This window comes from Homo sapiens, chromosome 12, assembly GCF_000001405.40.
Source record: "Homo sapiens chromosome 12, GRCh38.p14 Primary Assembly".
Classification (NCBI taxonomy): domain Eukaryota; kingdom Metazoa; phylum Chordata; class Mammalia; order Primates; family Hominidae; genus Homo; species Homo sapiens.
This window is the reverse complement of record NC_000012.12, coordinates 34,694,539-34,711,842: the sequence shown is the minus strand read 5'-3', so window position 1 is coordinate 34,711,842 and position 17,304 is coordinate 34,694,539. Positions and strand designations below refer to the sequence as shown.

Below are 17,304 nucleotides of genomic sequence, written 5' to 3'. Positions count from 1 at the left end.
GATAGAGCAGTTTTGAAACACTCTTTTTGTTGAATTTCCAAGTGCATATTTGGAGTGATTTGAAGCCGATGGTGGAAAACCAAATATCTTCATATAAGAACTAGACAGACTCATTCTCAGAAACCGCTTTGTGATGTGTGCCTACAACTCACAGAGTTTAACCTTTCTTTTGATAGAGCAGATTTGAAACACTCTGTTTGTAAAGTCTGCAAGTGGATATTTGGACGTCTTTGAGGAAATCGTTCGAAACGGTATTTTTCATAAAAAACTAGACTGAGGAATTCTGAGAAACTTCTTTGGGATGTGTGCATTCAACTGACAGAGTTAAACCCTCCTTTTGATAGAACAGTTTTGAAACACTCTTTTTGTTGAATTTCCAAGTGCATATTTGCAGTGCTTTGAAGCCGATGGTAGAAAACCAAATATCTTCATATAAAAACGAGACAGAGTTATTCTCAGAAACCACTTTATGATGTGTGCATTCAACTCACAGAGTTTAACCTTTCTTTTGAGAGAGCAGGTTTGAAAGAATCTTTTTGTGAAATTTCCAAGTGGATATTTAAAGGGCTTTTGTGCCTATGGCAGAAAAGGAAATATCTTCATATAACAACTAGACAGAAGCACTCCCAGAAACTAGTTTGTGATGGGCGCGTTCAACTCACACAGTTGAACCTTTCTTTTGATGGAGCAGTTTTGAAACTCTCTGTTTGTAATGTCTGCAGGTGGATATTTGGACGTCTTTGAGGAATTCGTTGGAAACGGGATTTCCACATATACAACAAGAGAGAAGAATTTTGAGAAACTTCTTTGTGATGTGTGTATTCAACTCACAGAGTTGAACCTTCCTTTCAATAGAGGAGTTTTGAAACACTCTTTTTGTAGAAATTCCCAGTGCATATTTAGAGTGCTTCGAAGCCTATGGTAGAAAACGAAATATCTTCATATAAAAAGTAGACAGAATCCTTCTCAGAAAAAACTTTGTGATGTGTGCGCTCAACTCACAGAGTTTAACGTTTCTTTTGATAGAGCAGTTTTGTCACCCCCTTTTTGTAGAATTTGCAAGCGGGTATTTAGAGGGCTTTGGAGCCTATTGTAGAAAAGGAAATACCTTCACACAAAAACTAGACAGTAGCATTCTCAGAAACTACATTGTGATGTTTGCATTCAACTCACAGAGTTCAACATTGCTTTTGATAGAACACTTTGGAAACAATATTTTTGTAGAATCCTCAAGTGGATAATTGGACCTCCTTGAGGCCTTTGTTGGAAACGGGATTTCTTCATAGAAAACTAGACAGAAGAATTCTCAGAAGCTTCTTTGTGATGTGTGTCTTCAACTCACAGAATTGAATATTCCTTTCGATAGAGTAGTTTTGGAAACCTCTTTTCTTAGAATTTCCAAGTGGATATTGGAAGCGCTTTGGGGCCTGAGGTGGAAAAAGAGAAATATCTTCACATAAAACCTAGACAGATTCATTCTCAGAAACTACTTTGTGATGTCTGCGTTCAACTCACAGAGTTTAACCTTTCTTTAGATAGAGCAGATTTGAAACACTCCGTTTGTAAAGTCTGCAAGGGGATATTTTGACCTCTTTGTGGAAATCGTTGGAAACGGGATTTCTCATATAAAAGGAGACAGAAGAGTTATGTGAAACTTCTTTGTGATGAGTTCATTCAACTCACTGAGTTAAACCCTCCTTTTGATAGAGCAGTTTCGAAACACTCTTTTTGTTGAGTTTCCAGGTGCATATTTGGAGTGCTTTTAAGCCGACGGTAGAAAACCGAATATCTTCATGTAAGAACTAGACAGACTCATTCTCAGAAACCACTTTGTGATGTGTGCGTTCAACTCACGGAGTTTAACCTTTCTTTTGATAGAGCTGATTTGAAACACTCTGTTTGTAAAGTCTGCAAGGGTATATTTGGACCTCTTTGAGGCGTTCATTGGAAACGGGATTTTTCATAAAAACTAGACAGAGGAATTCTGAGAAACTTCTTTGTGATGTGTGCATTCAACTCACAGAGTTAAACCCTCCTTTTGATAGAGCAGTTTTGAAACACTCTTTTTGTAGAATTTCCAAGTGCATATTTGGAGTGCTTTGAAGCCGACGGTAGAAAACCAAATATCTTCATAGAAGAACTAGACAGACTCATTCTCAGAAACCGCTTTGTGATGTGTGCCATCAACTCACAGAATTTAACCTTTTTTTTGATAGAGTAGATTTGAAACAGTCTGTTTGTAAAGTCTGCAAGTGGATATTTGGACGTCTTTGAGGAATTCGTTGGAAACAGGATTTTTCATAAAAAACTATAAAGAGGAATTCTGAGAAACTTCTTTGGGATGTGTGCATTCAAATCACAGAGTTACACCCTCCTTTTGATAGAACAGTTTTGAAACACTCTTTTTGTAGAATTTCCAAGTGCATATTTGGAGTGCTTTGAAGCTGACGGTAGAAAACTTCTCTATCAAAAGGAGGGTATAACTCTGTGGGTTGAATGGACACATCCTAAAGAAGTTTCTGAGAATTCTTCTCTCTAGTTTTATATGAAAATCCCGTTTCCAACGAATGCCTCAAAGAGGTCCAAATATCCACTTGCAGACTTTTCAAACAGAGTGTTTCAAATCTGCTCTCACAAAAGAAAGGTTAAACTGTGAGTTGAATGCTCACATCAGAAAGTGGTTTCTGAGAATGAGTCTGTGTAGTTCCTATATGAAGATATTTGGTTTTCTCCCGTCGGCTTCCAAGCAATCCAAATATGCACTTGCAAATACTCCAAAAAGAATATTTCAAAACTGCTGTGTCAAAAGGAGGGTTTAACTCTGTGAGTTGAATGCACACCTCACAAAGAAGTTTCTCAGAATCTTCTGTCTAGTTTTATATGAAAAATCCCTTTCCATACGAATACCTCAAAGAGGTCCAAATATCCACTTGCAGACTTTATAGCCAGATGGCTTCAAATCTGCTCTATCAAAAGAAAAGTTAAAGTCTATGAGTTGAACGCACACATCACAGAGTAGTTTCTGAGAATGAATCTGTCTAGTTTTTATGTGAAGGTATTTCCTTTTCCACCATAGGCCTCCAATTGCTTTAAATATACACTTGGAAATTCTACAAATAGTATGTTTCAAAACTGGTCTATCAAAAGATAATTTGAGCTCTGTGATTTGAAGCACACATCAGAAAGTAGTTTCTGAGAATCATTCTGTCGGTTTTTTATACGAAGATATTTTCTTTTCTACCCCAGGTCTCAAAGCGCTTCAATTATCCACTTGGAAATTCTAAAAAAGAGGATTTCAAAACTCCTCTATCGAAAGGAATGTTCATCTCTGTGAGTTGAATACACACATCACAAAGAAGCTTCTGAGAATTCTTCTGTCTAGTTTTCTATGAAGAAATCCCGTTTCCAACGTAGGCCTCAAGGAGGTCCAAATATCCACTTGAAGGTTCTACAAAAATCTTGTTTCAAAACTGCCCTATCAAAAGGAATTTTGAACTCTGTGAGTTGAATGCAAACATCACAATGTACTTTCTGAGAATGCTACTGTCTAGTTTTGGGTGAAGATATTTCCTTTTTTAAAAAATATGCCCTAAAGCCCTCTAAATAGACGCTTGCAAATTTTACAACAATAGTGCTTCAAAACTGCTCTATTAAAAGAAACTTTAAAGTCTGTGAGTTGAACGCATACATCACAAAGTTGTTTTTGAGAATGATTCTGTCTAGTTTTTACATGAAGATATTTCGTTTTCTACCTTAGGCTTCAAAGCACTCTATATATGCACTTGGCAATTGTGCAAAAGTGTGTTTCAAAACTGCTCTATCGAAAGGAAGGTTCAACTCAGAGTTGAATACACACATCACAAAGAAGTTTCTCAGAATTCTTCTGTGTAGTGTTATATGAACAAATCCCGTTTCCAACGAATGCCTCAAAGAGGTCCAAATATCCACTTGCAGACTTTACAAACAGAGTGTTTCAAAACTGCTCTATCAAAAGAAAAGTTAAACTCTGTGAGTTGAACGCACCCATCACAAAGTAGTTTCTCAGAATGATTCTGTCCTGTGTTTATATGAAAATATTTCGTTTTCTACCATATGCTTCAAAGCACTCTAAATATGCACTTGGAAATTCTAAAAAAAGAGTATTTCAAAACTGTTCTAAAATAAGGAAAGTTCAACTCTGTGAGTTGAATGCACACATCACAAAGAAGTTACTCAGAATTCTTCTGTCTAGTTTTATATGAAGAAATCCCCTTTCCATTGAATGACTCAAAGAGGTCCAAATATCCACTTGCAGACCTTGGAAAGAAAGTGTTTCAAAACTGCTCTATCAAAAGAAAGGTTAAAGTCTGTGAGTTGAACGCCCCCATCACAAAGAAGTTTCAGAGAATGCTTCTGTCTAGTTGTTATATGAAGATATTTCCTTTTCTACCATGGGTCCCAAAGACTTTTAAATATCCACTTGCAAATATTACAAAAACAGTGTTTCAAATCTGCTCTATCAAAAGAAACGTTAAACTCTGTGAATTGATTGCAAACATTACAAAGTTGTGTCTGGGAATGATTCTCTCTAGTTTTTATATGAAGATACTTCGTTTTCTACCATCGGCTTCAAAGCACTCCTAATATGCACTTGGAAATTCTACAAAAAGGGTGTTTCAAAACTGCTCTAGCAAAAGAAGGGTTTAACTCTGTGAGTTGAATGCACACATCACAAAGAAGTTTCTCAGAATTATTCTGTCTAGTTTTATATGAGAAATCCCCTTTCCAAAGAATGCCTCAAAGAGGTCCAAATATCCACTTGCAGACTTTACAAACAGAGTGTTTCAAATCTGCTCTATCAAAAGAAAGGTTAAACTCTGTGAGTTGAACACACACATCACAAAGTAGTTTCTGAGAATGAATCTGTCTAGTTTTTATGTGAAGATATTTCCTTTTCTACCTCAGGCCTCAAAGCACTTCGAATATCCACTTGGAAATTCTAAAAAAAGAGGTTCTCAAAACTTCTCTCTCTAAAGGAATATTCAACCCTGTGAGTTGAAGACACACATCACAAAGAAGCTTCTGAGAATTATTCTGTCTAATTTTCTATGAAGAAATCCATTTCCAAAGAAGGTCTCAAGGAGGGCCAAATATCCACTTGAGGATTCTACAAAAATATTGTTTCCAAACTGCTCTATCAAAAGGAATGTTGAACTCTGTGAGTTGGATGCAAACATCACAATGTAGTTTCTGAAAATGTTACTGTCTAGTTTTTATGTGAAGGTATTTCCTTTTCTACAATAGGCCCCACAGCTATCTAAATACTCGCTTGGAAATTCTACAAAAAGGGTGTTACAAAACTGCTCTATCAAAGGAAATTTAAACTCTGTGAGTTGAATGCACACATCACAAAGTTGTTTCTGAGAAGGATTTTGTCTAGTTTTTATATGAAGATATTTCGTTTTCTACAACAGGCTTCCAAGCACTCTAAATATGCACTTGGAAATTCTACAAAAAGAGTGTTTTGAAACTGCTCTATCAAAAGGAAGGTTCAACTCTGTGAGTTGAATACACACATCACAAAGAAGTTTCTCAAAATTCTTTTCTCTAGTTGTATACGTAGAAATCCCTTTTCCAACGAATGCCTCAAAGACGTCCAAATATCCACCTGCAGACTTTACAAACAGAGTGTTTCAAAACTGCCCTATCAAAAGAAAGGTTCAACTGTGTGAGTTGAACTCACCCACCACAAAGTAGTTTCTGAGAGTGCTTCTGTGTAGTTGTTATATGAAGATATTTCGTTTTCTGCCTTAGGCACCAAAGCCCTTTAAATATCCACTTGCAAATTTCACAAAAAGACTATTTCAAACCTGCTCTCTCAAAAGAAATGTTACACACTGTGAGTTGAATGCACACATCAGAAAGTGGTTCCTAAGAATGAGTCTGTCTAGTTCTTATATGAATATGTTTGGTTTTCTACCGTCGGCTTCAAAGCACTCCAAATATGCACCTGGAAATTCTACAAAAAGAGTGTTTCAAAACTGCTCTATCAAAAGGAGGGTTTAACTCAGTGAGTTGATTGCACTCATCCCAAAGAAGTTTCTCAGAATTCTTCTGTATAGTTTTATATGAGAAATCACTTTTCCAACGAATGTCTCAAACAGGTCCAAATATCCACTTGCAGACTTTACAAACAGAGTGTTTCAAATCTGCTCTATCAAAAGAAAGGTTATACTCTGAGTTGAACGCACACATCGCAAAGTGGTTTCTGAGAATGAGTCTGTCTAGTTTTTATATGAAGATATTTCGTTTTCTACCATTGGCTTCAAATCATTCTAAATATGCAATTGGAAATTCTTCAAAAAGACTGTTTCAAAACTGCTCTATCAAAAGTAAGGTTCAACTCTGAGAGTTGAGTGCACACATCACAAAGAATTCTCTCATAATTCTTCTGTCTAGTTCAATATGAAAAAAAATTCCTTTTCCAACAAATGCCTAAAAGAAGTGAAATATCCACTTGCAGACTTACATACAGAGTGTTTCAAAACTGCTCTATCAAAAGAAATATTAAACTGTGTGAACTGAACGCACACTTCACAACGTTGTTTCTGAGGAAGATTCTGTCTTGTTTTTATATGAAGATATTTCGCTTTCTACCATAGGCTTCAAAGCACTCTACATATGCACTTGGAAATTTTTAAAAAAGAGTGTTTCAAAACTGCTCTATCGAAAGGAAGTTTGAAATCTGTGTGTTGAACACACACGTCACAAAGAAGTTTCTGAGAATTCTTCTGTCTAGTTTTATAGGAAGAAATCCTGTTTCCAATGAATGTCTCAAAGTGGTCCAAATATCCACTTACAGACTTTGCAAACAGAGTGTTTCAAAACTGCTCTATCAAAAGAAAGGTTAAACTCTGTGAGTTGAACGCACACATCACAAACTGGTTTCTGAGAATGAATGTTTCCAGTTATAATATGATATTATTATCATATTATATCTATGATATTATTATCATAGAAGAGGATATAATAAGATATTTCCTCTTCTACCATTGGCTTCAAAGTGCTTTAAATATCCACTTGCCAATCCTACCAAAAGAGTGTTTGAAATCTACTGGATAAAAAGAAAGTTTAAAGTCTGTGAGTTGAACGCACACATTACAATGTAGTTGCTGAGAATCATTCAATCTGTTTTTTATACGAAGATATTTCCTTTTCTACGATAGGCCTCAAAGTGCTTTAATTATCCAATTGGAAATTCTAAAAATTAGTGTTTCAAAACTTCTCTATCGAAAGGAAGGTTCAAATCTGTAAGTTGAATACACACATCAAAAAGTAGTTTCTGAGAATTTTTCTGTCAAGTTTTATATGTAAAATTCCCGTTTCCAACGAATGTCTCAAAGAGGTCCAAATATCCACTTGCAGACTTTACAAACAGAGGGTTTCAAAACTTCTCTATCAAAAGAAAGGGTTAACTCCTTGAGTTGAACGCACACAACACAAACTGGTTTATGAGAATGAATCTGTCTAGTTTTTATATGAAGATTTTCTTTTCCATAATAGACCTCAAAGCGCTTTAATTACCCACTTGGAAATTCAAAAAAAAAGAGGGTTTCAAAACTGCTCTATCGAAAGGAAGTTTCAACACTGTGAGTTGAATGCAAACATCATAAAGAAGTTTCTTAGAATACTTCTGTCAAGTTTTATATGAAGAAATCCCGCTTTGAACGAATGCCTCAAAGAGGTCCAAATATCCACTTGCAGACTTTACAAACAGAGTGTTTCAAAACTGCTCTATCAAAAGAAAGGTTAAACTCTGTGGGTTGAACGCACACATCACAAACTGGTTTCTGAGAATGAATATGTCTGGTTTTTATATGAAGATTTTCCTTTTCTACATTTGGCCTCAAAGCGCTTTAAATAACCACTTGCAAACCCTTCAGAAAGAGTCTTTCAAAACTGCCCTATGAAAAACAAGGTTAAACTCTGTTAGTTGAATGCACACATCACAAACTGGTTTCTGAGAATGAATCTGTCTAGTTTTGATATGAAGATATATCCTCTTCTACCATAGGCCTCAATGTGCTTTAAATATCCACTTCTGAATTCTACATAAAGAGTGTTTCAAATCAGCTGGATAAAAAGAAATGTTAAACACTGTGATTTGAACGCACACATCACAAAGTAATTTCTGAGAAGGATTCTATCTGTTTTTTATACGAAGATATTTTCTTTTCTACTATAGGTCTAAAAGTGCTTTAATTATCCACTTGGAAATTCTAAAAAAATGATTGTTTCAAAACTGCTCTATTGAAAGGAAGTTTCAACTCTGTGAGTTGAATGCCCACATCATAAAGAAGTTTCTTTGAATTCTTCTGTTTAGTTTTATATGAAGAAATCCCGTTTCCAACGAATGTCTCAAAGAGGTCCAAATATCCACTTGCAGACTTTAGAAGCGGAGGTTTTCAAATCTGCTCTATCAAAGGAAAGGTTAAACTCTGTGAGTTGAATTCACCCATCACAAACTGGTTTCTGAGAATGAATCTGTCTAGTTTTTATAAGAAGATTTTCCTTTTCCACAATAGGACTCAAAGCGCTTTAAATATCCACTTGCAAATTATACAAAAAGAGTGTTTCAAAACTGCTCTATCAAAAAAAAAAGGTTAAACTCTGTGAGTTGAACCCACACATCACAAACTGGTTTCTGAGAATGATTTTGTCTAGTTTTTATATGAAGATATTTCCTCTTCTACCATAGGCCTCAAAGTGCTTTAAATATCCACTTGCAAATTCTAGAAAACGAGTGTTTCAAATCTGCTGGATGTAAAGAAAGTTAAACTCTGTGAGTTGAATGCACACATCACAAAGCTGTTTCTGAGAATGATTCTGTCAGGTTTTTATGTGAAGATATTTCATTTTCTACCGTAAGCCTCAAAGCACTTTAAATATCCATTTGGAAATTCTAAAAAAAGAGTGTTTCAAAACTGTTCTATAGAAAGAAAGGTTCAACCCTTTGAGTTGAATACACACATCACAAAGAAGTTTCTGAGAATTCTTCTGTCTAGTTTTATATGAAGAAATCCCATTTCCAACAAAGGCCTCAAGGAGATCAAAATATCCACTTGCAGATTCTACAAGAAGAGTGTTTCAAAACTGCTCTATCAAACGGAATGTTGAGATCTGTGAGTTGAATACAAACATCACAAAGTGGTTTCTGAGAATGCGTCTGTCTAGTTTATATGTGAAGATATTTCCTTTCCTACCATAGGCCCCAAAGCCCTCTAAATACACAGTTGCAAATTCTACAAAAAGAGTGTTTGAAAAGTGCTCTATCAAAAGAAACGTTAAACTCTGTGAGTTGAACGTACACATCACAAAGTAGTTTCTGAGAATGTTTCTCTCTGGTTTTTATAAGAAGATATTTCCTTTTCTACCATAGGCCTCAAAGTGCTTTAAATATCCACTTGGAAATTCTAAAAAAAGAGTGTTTCAAAACTGCTCTATTGAAAGGAAGATCCAAATCTGTGAGTTGAATACACACATCACAAATAAGTTTCTGAGAATTTTTCTGTCTAGTTTTATATGAAGAAATCCCGTTTCCAATGAATGTCTCAAAGAGGTCCATATATCCACTTGCAGACTTTGCAAACAGAGTGTTTCAAAACTGCTTTATCAAAAGAAAGGGTAAACTCTGTAAGTTGAATGCACACATCAGAAACTGGTTTCTGAGAATGAATCTGTCTAGTTTTTATATGAAGATTTTCCTTTTCCATAATAGGCCTCAAAGCGCTTTAAATATCCACTTGTAAATTATACAAAAAGAGTCTTTCAAAACTGCTCTATGAAAAAAAAGCTTAAACTCTGTGAGTTGAATGCCTACATCACAAACTGGTTTCTGAGAATGAATCTGTCTAGTTTTTATATGAAGATATTTCCTCTTCTACCTTAAGCCTCAATGCGCTTTAAATATCCACTTACAAATTCTACAAAAAGAGTGTTTCAAATCTGCTGGATAAAAATAAAGGTTAAACTCTGTGAGTTGAACACACATGTCACAAAGTAGTTTCTGAGAATGATTCTGTCCGGTTTTTATGTGAAGATATTTCCTTTTCTACCATAATCCTCAAAGCACTTTAAAGTTCCACTTGGAAATTCTAAAAAAAGAGTGTTTCAAAACTGCTCTAATGAAAAGGAATTTCAACTCTGTGAGTTGAGTACACACATCACAAAGAAGTTTCTCAGAATTCTTCTGTCTAGTTTTATGTGAAGAAATTCTGTTTCCAACGAAGGCTTCAAGGAGGTCCTAATATCCACTTGCAGATTCTACAAAAACAGTGGTTGAAAACTGCTCTATCAAAAGGAATGTTGAACTCTGAGTTGAATGCAAACATCACAAAGTAGTTTCTGAGAATGCTTCTGTCTAGTTTACATGTGATGATATTTCCTTTTTAACCGAGGCCCCAAAGCCCTCTAAATACATGCTTCCAAATTCTACGAAAAGAGTGTTGCAAAACTGCTCTGTCAAAAGAAATATTAAACTCTGTGAGTTGAACGCAGATATCACAACGTGGTTTCTGAGAATGATTCTCTCTAGTTTTTATATGAAGATATTTCATTTACTACCATAGGCTTCAAAGCACTCTAAATATGCAATTGAAAATTCTAGAAAAAGAGTGTTTCAAAACTGCTCCATCAAAACGAAGGCTCATCTCTGTGAGTTGAATGCACACATCACAAGGAAGTTTCTCAGAATTTTTCTGTCTTGTTTTATAAGAAGAAATCCCATTTCCAACGAATGACTCAAAGAGGTACAATTATCCACTTGCAGACTTTACAAACCGAGTGTTTCAAAACTGTCCTATCAAAAGAAAGGTTAAACTCTGTGAGTTGAACGCACACATCACAAAGTAGTTTCTGAGAATGATTCTGTCTGATTTTTATGTGAAGATATTTCATTTTCTACCATAAGCCTCAAAGCGCTTTAAATATCCACTTGGAAATTCTAAAAAAAGAGTGTTTCAAAACTGTTCTATTGAAAGAAAAGTTCAACTACGTGAGTTGAATACACATATCACAAAGAAGTTTCTGAGAATTCTTCTGTCTAGTTTTATATGAAGAATTCCCATTTCCAACGAAGGCCTCAAGGAGGTCCAAATATCCACTTGCAGAGTCTACAAAAAGAGTGTTTCAAAACTGCTCTATCAAACGGAATGTTGCACTCTGCGAGTTGAATGCAAACATCACAAAGTAGTTTCTGAGAATGCTTCTGTTTAGTTTTTATGTGAAGATATTTCCTTTTCTACCATAGGTCCCAAAGCCCTCTAAATACACGGTTGCAAATTCTACAAAAAGAGTGTTTCAAAACTGCTCTATCAAAAGAAATTTAAACTCTGTGTGTTGAATGCAGACATCACAAAGTAGTTTCTGAGACTGATTCTCTCCAGTTTTTATACGAAGATATTTTCTTTTATACCATAAACCTCACAGCACTTTAATTATCCACTTGGAAATTCTAAAAAAAGATTGTTTCAAAACTGCTCTATTGAAAGGAAGGCTCAACTCTGTGAGATGAATGCACACAACACAAAAAAGTTTCTCAGAATTCTGTCCAGTTTTATATGAAGAAAACCCTTTTCCAACAAATGCCTCAAAGAGGCCAAATATCCACTTGCAGACTTTACAAACAGAGAGTTTCAAAACTGCTCTATCAAAAGAAAAGTTAAGCTTCGTGAGTTGAACGCACACATCACAAACTGGTTTCTGAGAATGAATCTGTCTAGTTTTTATATTAAGATATATCCTCTTCTACCATAGGCCTCAAAGCGCTTTAAATATCCACTTGCAAATTCAACAAAAACAGTGTTTCAAATATGCTGGATCAAAAGAAATGTTAAAATCGGTGAGTTGAACGCACACATCACAAAAAAGTTTCTGAGAATGATTCTGTCTGGTTTTTATATGAAGATATTTCCTTTTCTACCATAAGCCTCAAATCGCTTTAAAGATCCACTTGGAAATTCTAAAAAAAGAGTGTTCCAAAACTACTCTATCGAAAGGAAGCTTCAACTCTGTGAGTTGAAAACACACATCACAAAGAAGTTTCTAAGAATTCTTCTGTCTAGTATTATATGAAGAAACACCGTTTCCAACGAATGCCTCAAGGAGGTCCAAATATCCACTTGCAGATTCTACAAAAAGAGAGTTTTAAAACTGCTCTATCAAAAGGAATGTTGAACTCTGTGAGTTGAATGCAAACATCAAAAAGTAGTTTCTGAGAATGTTTCTGTCAGTTTCTATGTGATGATATTTCCTTTTCTAACATAGGCCCGAAAGCCCTCTAAATACACGCTTCCAAATTCCATAAAAAGCATGTTTCTAAACTGCTCTATCAAAAGAAAGGTTAAACTCTGTGAGTTGAATGCACACATCACAACGTGGTTTCTGAGAATGATTCTGTCTTGTTTTCATATGAAGGCATTTCGTTTTCCACCTTAGGCTTCAAAGCACTCTAAATATACACATTGACATTCTACAAAAAGAGTGTTTCAAAACTGCTCTATCAAAAGGAGGGTTTAACTCTGTGAGTTGAATGCACATATCACAAAGAAGTTTCTGAGAATTCTTCTGTCTAGTTTTATATGAAGAAATCCCGTTTCCAACGAATGCCTCACAGTGGTCCAAATATCCACTTGCAGACTTTACAAACAGAGTGTTCCAAAACTGCTCTATCAAAAGAAGGGTTAAAACTGTGAGCTGAACGCACACTTCACAAACTGATTTCTGAGAATGAATCTGTCTAGTTTTTATATGAAGATACTTCCTCTTCTACCATTGGCCTCAAAGCGCTTTAAATATACAATTGCAAACTCTACAAAAAGAGTGTTTCAAATCTGCTGGATAAAAAGAAAGGTTAAACTCTGTGAGTTGAGCACACACATTACAAAGTAGTTTCTGAGAACGATTCTATCTGTTTTTTATACGAAGATATTTCCTTTTCTACCATAGGCCTCAAAGCGCTTTAGTTATCCACTTGGAAATTCTACAAAAAGAGTGTTTCAAAACTGCCCTTTCAAAATGATGGTTTAACTCTGTGAGTTCAATGCACACATCACAAAGAAGTTTCTTAGAATTCTTCTGTCTAGTTTTATATGAAGAAATCCCGTTTCCAACGAATGTCTCAAAGAGATCCATATATCCACTTGCAGACTTTACAAACAGAGTGCTTCAAAACTGCTCTACCAAAAGAAAGATTAAACTCTGTGAGTTGAACGCACACATTGCAAACTGTTTTCTGAGAATGAATCTGTCTGGTTTTTATATGAAGATTTTCGTTTTCTATAACTGGCCTCAAAGTGCTTTAAATATCCACTTGCCAATTCTTCAAAAAGAGTCTTTCAAAGCTGCTCTATGAAAAAAAGGTTAAACTCTGTGAGTTGAATGCACAGATCACAAAGTGGTTTCTGAGAATGAATCTGTCTAGTTTTTATATGAAGATATTTCCTCCTCTACTGTAGGGCTCAAAGCGCTTTAAATATCCTCTAGCAAATTTTACAAAAAGAGTGTTTCAAATCTGCTGGATTAAAAGAAAGGTTAAACACTGTGAGTTGAATGCACACATCACAAAGTAGTTTCTGAGAATGATTCTATCTGTTTTTCATATGAAGATATTTCCTTTGCTACCGTTGGCCTCAAAGTGCTTTTATTATCCACTTGGAAATTCTAAAAAAAGAGTGTTTCAAAACAGGTCTATCGAAAGGAAGGTTCATCTCTGTGAGTTGAATGCACACATCACAAAGAAGTTTCTCAGAACTCTTCTGTCTAGTTTTATATGTAGAAATCCCGTTTCCAACGAATTCCTCAAAGAGGTCCAAATATCCAGTTGCAGATTTTACAAACAGAGTGTTTCAAAACTGCTGTATCAAAAGGAAAGCTCAACTCTGTGAGTTGAATACACACATCACAAAGAAGTTTCTGGGAATTCTGTCTAGTTTTATATGAAGAAATCCCGTTTCCATCGAAGACCTCAAAGAGGTCCAAATATCCACTTGCATATTCTAAAGAAGAGTGTTTCAAAACTGCTCTATCAAGAGGAATGTTTAATTCTGTGAGTTGAAAACAACCATCACATATTAGTTTCTGAGAATGCTTCTGTCTAGCTTTCATATGAAGATAGTTTTTTTCCTACCATAGGCCTCAAAGCCCTCCAAATACACACTTGGAAATTCTACAAAAAGATAGTTTCAAAATTGCTCTATCAAAAGAAAGGTTAAACTCGGTGAGTTGAATGAACACATCACAAAGAAGTTTCTGAGAATGATTCTGTCTAGTTTTTATATGAAGATATTTCCTTTTCTACCATAGGCCACAAAGCACTTTAGATATCCACTTGCGAATTCTACAAACAGAGTGTTTCAAAACTGCTCTATCAAAAGCAAGTTTCAACTCTGTGAGTGGAGTGCAGATATCACAAAGAAGTTTCTGAGAATACTTCTCTCTACTTTTTAGTGAGGATATTCCCATTTACAAAGAAGGCCTCAAAGTGCTCCAAATATCCACTTGTAGACTTTACAAACAGAGTGCTTCAAAACTGCTCTACCAAAAGAAAGGTTAAACTCTGTGAGTTGAACGCACACATCATGAATTAGTTTCTGAGAATGATTCTGTCTACTTTTTATATTAAGATATTTCCTTTTCTAATATAGGCCTCCAAGCGCTCTCAATAATAACTTGGAAATTCTACAAAAAGAGGGTTTCAAAACTGCTCTATCAAAAGGAAGTTTCAACTCTGTGAGTTTAATACACTCAACACAAAAAGTTTCTGAGAATTCTTCTGTCTAGTTTTATATGAAGAAATCCCGTTTCCAAAGAAGGTCTCAAAGAGGTCCAAATATCCACATGCATATCCTACAAAAAGAGTGTTTAAAAACTGCTCTATCAAAAGGAATGTTCAACTCTGTGAGTTGAATGCAAACATCACAGATCACTTTCTGAGAATGCTTCTGTCTAGCTTTTATGTGAAGATATTTCCTTTTATACCATAGGCCTCAAAGCCCTCCAAATACTCACTTGCAAATTCTACAAAACTAGTGTTTGAAAACTGCTCTATCAAAAGAAAGGTTAAACCCCATGTGTTGAACACACACGTCACAAAGTATTTTCTGAGAATGATTCTGTATGCTTTTTATATGAAGATATTTCCTTTTCTACCTGAGGCCTCAAAGTGCTTCAAATATCCACCTGGAAAATCTAAAAAAAGAGTGTTTCAAAACTTCTCTGTCGACAGGAAGGTTCAACTCAGTGAGTTGAATGCACACATCACAAAGAAGTTTCTGAGAATTCTTCTGTCTAGTTTTATATGAAGAAATCCCGTTTCCAACGAAGGCCTGAAGGAGGTCAAAATATCCACTTGCAGATATAACAAATAGAGTGTTTCAAATCTGTTCTATCACAAGAATGTTGATCTCTGTGAGTTGAATGCAAACATCACAAAGCAGTTTCTGAGAATGCTTCTGTCTAGTTTCTATGTGAAGATATTTCCTTTTCTACCATAAGCTAAAAAGCCCTCAAAATACACACTTGTAAATTCTACAAAATAGTGTTTCAAATCTGCACTATCAAAAGAAAGGTTAAACTCTGTGAGTTGAATGCACACATCACAAAGTGGTTTCTGAGAATAATTCTGTCCAGTTTTATATGAAGATATTTCATTTTCTACCATAGGCTTTAAAGCACTCTAAATATGCACTTGGAAATTCTACAAAAATTGTTTCAAAACTGCTCTATCGAAAGGAATGTTCAACTCTGTGAGTTGAATGTACACATCACAAAGCAGTTTCCAGAATTCTTCTGTCTAGTTTTATATGAAGAAATCCCTTTTCCAAAGAATGGCCCAAAGAGGTCCAAATATCCACTTGCAGAATTTACAAACAGAGTGTTTCAAAACCGCTCTATCAAAAGAAAGGTTAAACTGTGTGAGTTGAACACACACATCACAAAGTAGTTTCTGAGAATGAATCTGTCTAGTTTTTATATGAAGATATTTCCCTTTCTACCATAGGCCTCAAAGCGCTTTAAATATACGCTTGCAAATTCTACAAAAAGAGAGTTTCAAAACAGCTCTATCAAAAGAAATGTTAAAATCTGTGAGTTGAACTCACACATCACAAAGTAGTTTCTGAGAATGATTCTGTCTGGTTTTATTTGAAGATATTTCCTTTTCTACCATAGGCCCCAAAGCGCTTTAAATTTCCACTTGGAAAGTCTAAAAACAGTGTTTCAAAACTTCTCTATCAAAAGGAAGGTTCAACACTGTGAGATGAATACACACATCACAAAGAAGTTTCTGAGAATTCTTCTGTCTAGTTGTATATGAAGAAATCCAGTTTCCAACGAGGGCTTCAAAAAGGTCCAAATATCCACTTACAGGTTCAACAAAGAGTGCTTCAAAACTGCTCTATCAAGAGAAATGTTCAACTCTGTGAGTTGAAGGCAAACATCACAAGGTAGTTTCTGAGAACGCTTCTGTCTAGCTTTTATGTGAAGATACTTCCTTTTCTACCATAGGCCTCAAAGCCCGCCAAATACACACTTGCAAATTCTACAAAAAGACTGTTTCAAAACTGCTCTATCAAAAGAAAGGTAAAACTCTGTGAGTTGAATGCACACATCAAAAAGAAGTTTCTGAGAATGATTCTGTCTAGTTTCTATATGAAGATATTTCCTTTTCTACTATAGGCTTCAAAATGCTCTAAATATGCACTTGGAAATTCTACAGAGAGAGTGTTTCAAAACTGCTCTATCAAAAGAAAGGTTAAACTCTGTGAGTTTAATACACACATCACAAAGTGGTTTCTGAGAATGATTCTGTCTAGTTTTTATACGAAATTATTTCGTTTTCTACTGTAGGCTTCAAAGCACTCTAAATATGCACTTTGAAATTCTACAAAAGGAGTGTTTCAAAACAGCTCTATCAAAAGGAAAGTTCAACTCTGTGAGTTGAGTGCAGACATCACAAAGAACTTTCTGAGAATACTTCTGTCTTCTTTTTATGTGAAGATATTCCCATTTACAAAGAAGGCCTCTAAGCGCTCGAAATATCCACTTGCAGACTTTACAAACAGAGTGTTTCAAAAGTGCTCTATGAAAAGAAAGGTTAAACTCCGTGAGTTGAACCCACACATCACAAAGTAGTTTCTGAGATTGATTTTTGCCTTGTTTTTATATTAAGATATTTCTTTTGTACCATAGGCTTCAAAGTGCTCTAAATATCCACTTGGAAATTCTTCAGAAAGAGTGTTTCAAAACTGCTCTGTCAAAAGGATGGTT

General features: G+C 35.3%; 7 annotated features.

The window, feature by feature from the left end:
* Positions 8,449-9,073: an enhancer, noted in NCBI's record as "OCT4-NANOG hESC enhancer chr12:34855705-34856329 (GRCh37/hg19 assembly coordinates)". NCBI's record gives its function as "activates a minimal SCP1, AML or CMV promoter by ChIP-STARR-seq in primed H9 embryonic stem cells {active_cell/tissue: H9 hESC(primed)}" and the evidence as "EXISTENCE:reporter gene assay evidence [ECO:0000049][PMID:30033119]".
* Positions 9,294-9,835: an enhancer, noted in NCBI's record as "OCT4-NANOG hESC enhancer chr12:34854943-34855484 (GRCh37/hg19 assembly coordinates)". NCBI's record gives its function as "activates a minimal SCP1, AML or CMV promoter by ChIP-STARR-seq in primed H9 embryonic stem cells {active_cell/tissue: H9 hESC(primed)}" and the evidence as "EXISTENCE:reporter gene assay evidence [ECO:0000049][PMID:30033119]".
* Positions 11,736-12,290: an enhancer, noted in NCBI's record as "OCT4-NANOG hESC enhancer chr12:34852488-34853042 (GRCh37/hg19 assembly coordinates)". NCBI's record gives its function as "activates a minimal SCP1, AML or CMV promoter by ChIP-STARR-seq in primed H9 embryonic stem cells {active_cell/tissue: H9 hESC(primed)}" and the evidence as "EXISTENCE:reporter gene assay evidence [ECO:0000049][PMID:30033119]".
* Positions 12,291-12,846: an enhancer, noted in NCBI's record as "OCT4-NANOG hESC enhancer chr12:34851932-34852487 (GRCh37/hg19 assembly coordinates)". NCBI's record gives its function as "activates a minimal SCP1, AML or CMV promoter by ChIP-STARR-seq in primed H9 embryonic stem cells {active_cell/tissue: H9 hESC(primed)}" and the evidence as "EXISTENCE:reporter gene assay evidence [ECO:0000049][PMID:30033119]".
* Positions 12,863-13,506: an enhancer, noted in NCBI's record as "OCT4-NANOG hESC enhancer chr12:34851272-34851915 (GRCh37/hg19 assembly coordinates)". NCBI's record gives its function as "activates a minimal SCP1, AML or CMV promoter by ChIP-STARR-seq in primed H9 embryonic stem cells {active_cell/tissue: H9 hESC(primed)}" and the evidence as "EXISTENCE:reporter gene assay evidence [ECO:0000049][PMID:30033119]".
* Positions 15,298-16,017: an enhancer, noted in NCBI's record as "OCT4-NANOG hESC enhancer chr12:34848761-34849480 (GRCh37/hg19 assembly coordinates)". NCBI's record gives its function as "activates a minimal SCP1, AML or CMV promoter by ChIP-STARR-seq in primed H9 embryonic stem cells {active_cell/tissue: H9 hESC(primed)}" and the evidence as "EXISTENCE:reporter gene assay evidence [ECO:0000049][PMID:30033119]".
* Positions 16,018-16,737: an enhancer, noted in NCBI's record as "OCT4-NANOG hESC enhancer chr12:34848041-34848760 (GRCh37/hg19 assembly coordinates)". NCBI's record gives its function as "activates a minimal SCP1, AML or CMV promoter by ChIP-STARR-seq in primed H9 embryonic stem cells {active_cell/tissue: H9 hESC(primed)}" and the evidence as "EXISTENCE:reporter gene assay evidence [ECO:0000049][PMID:30033119]".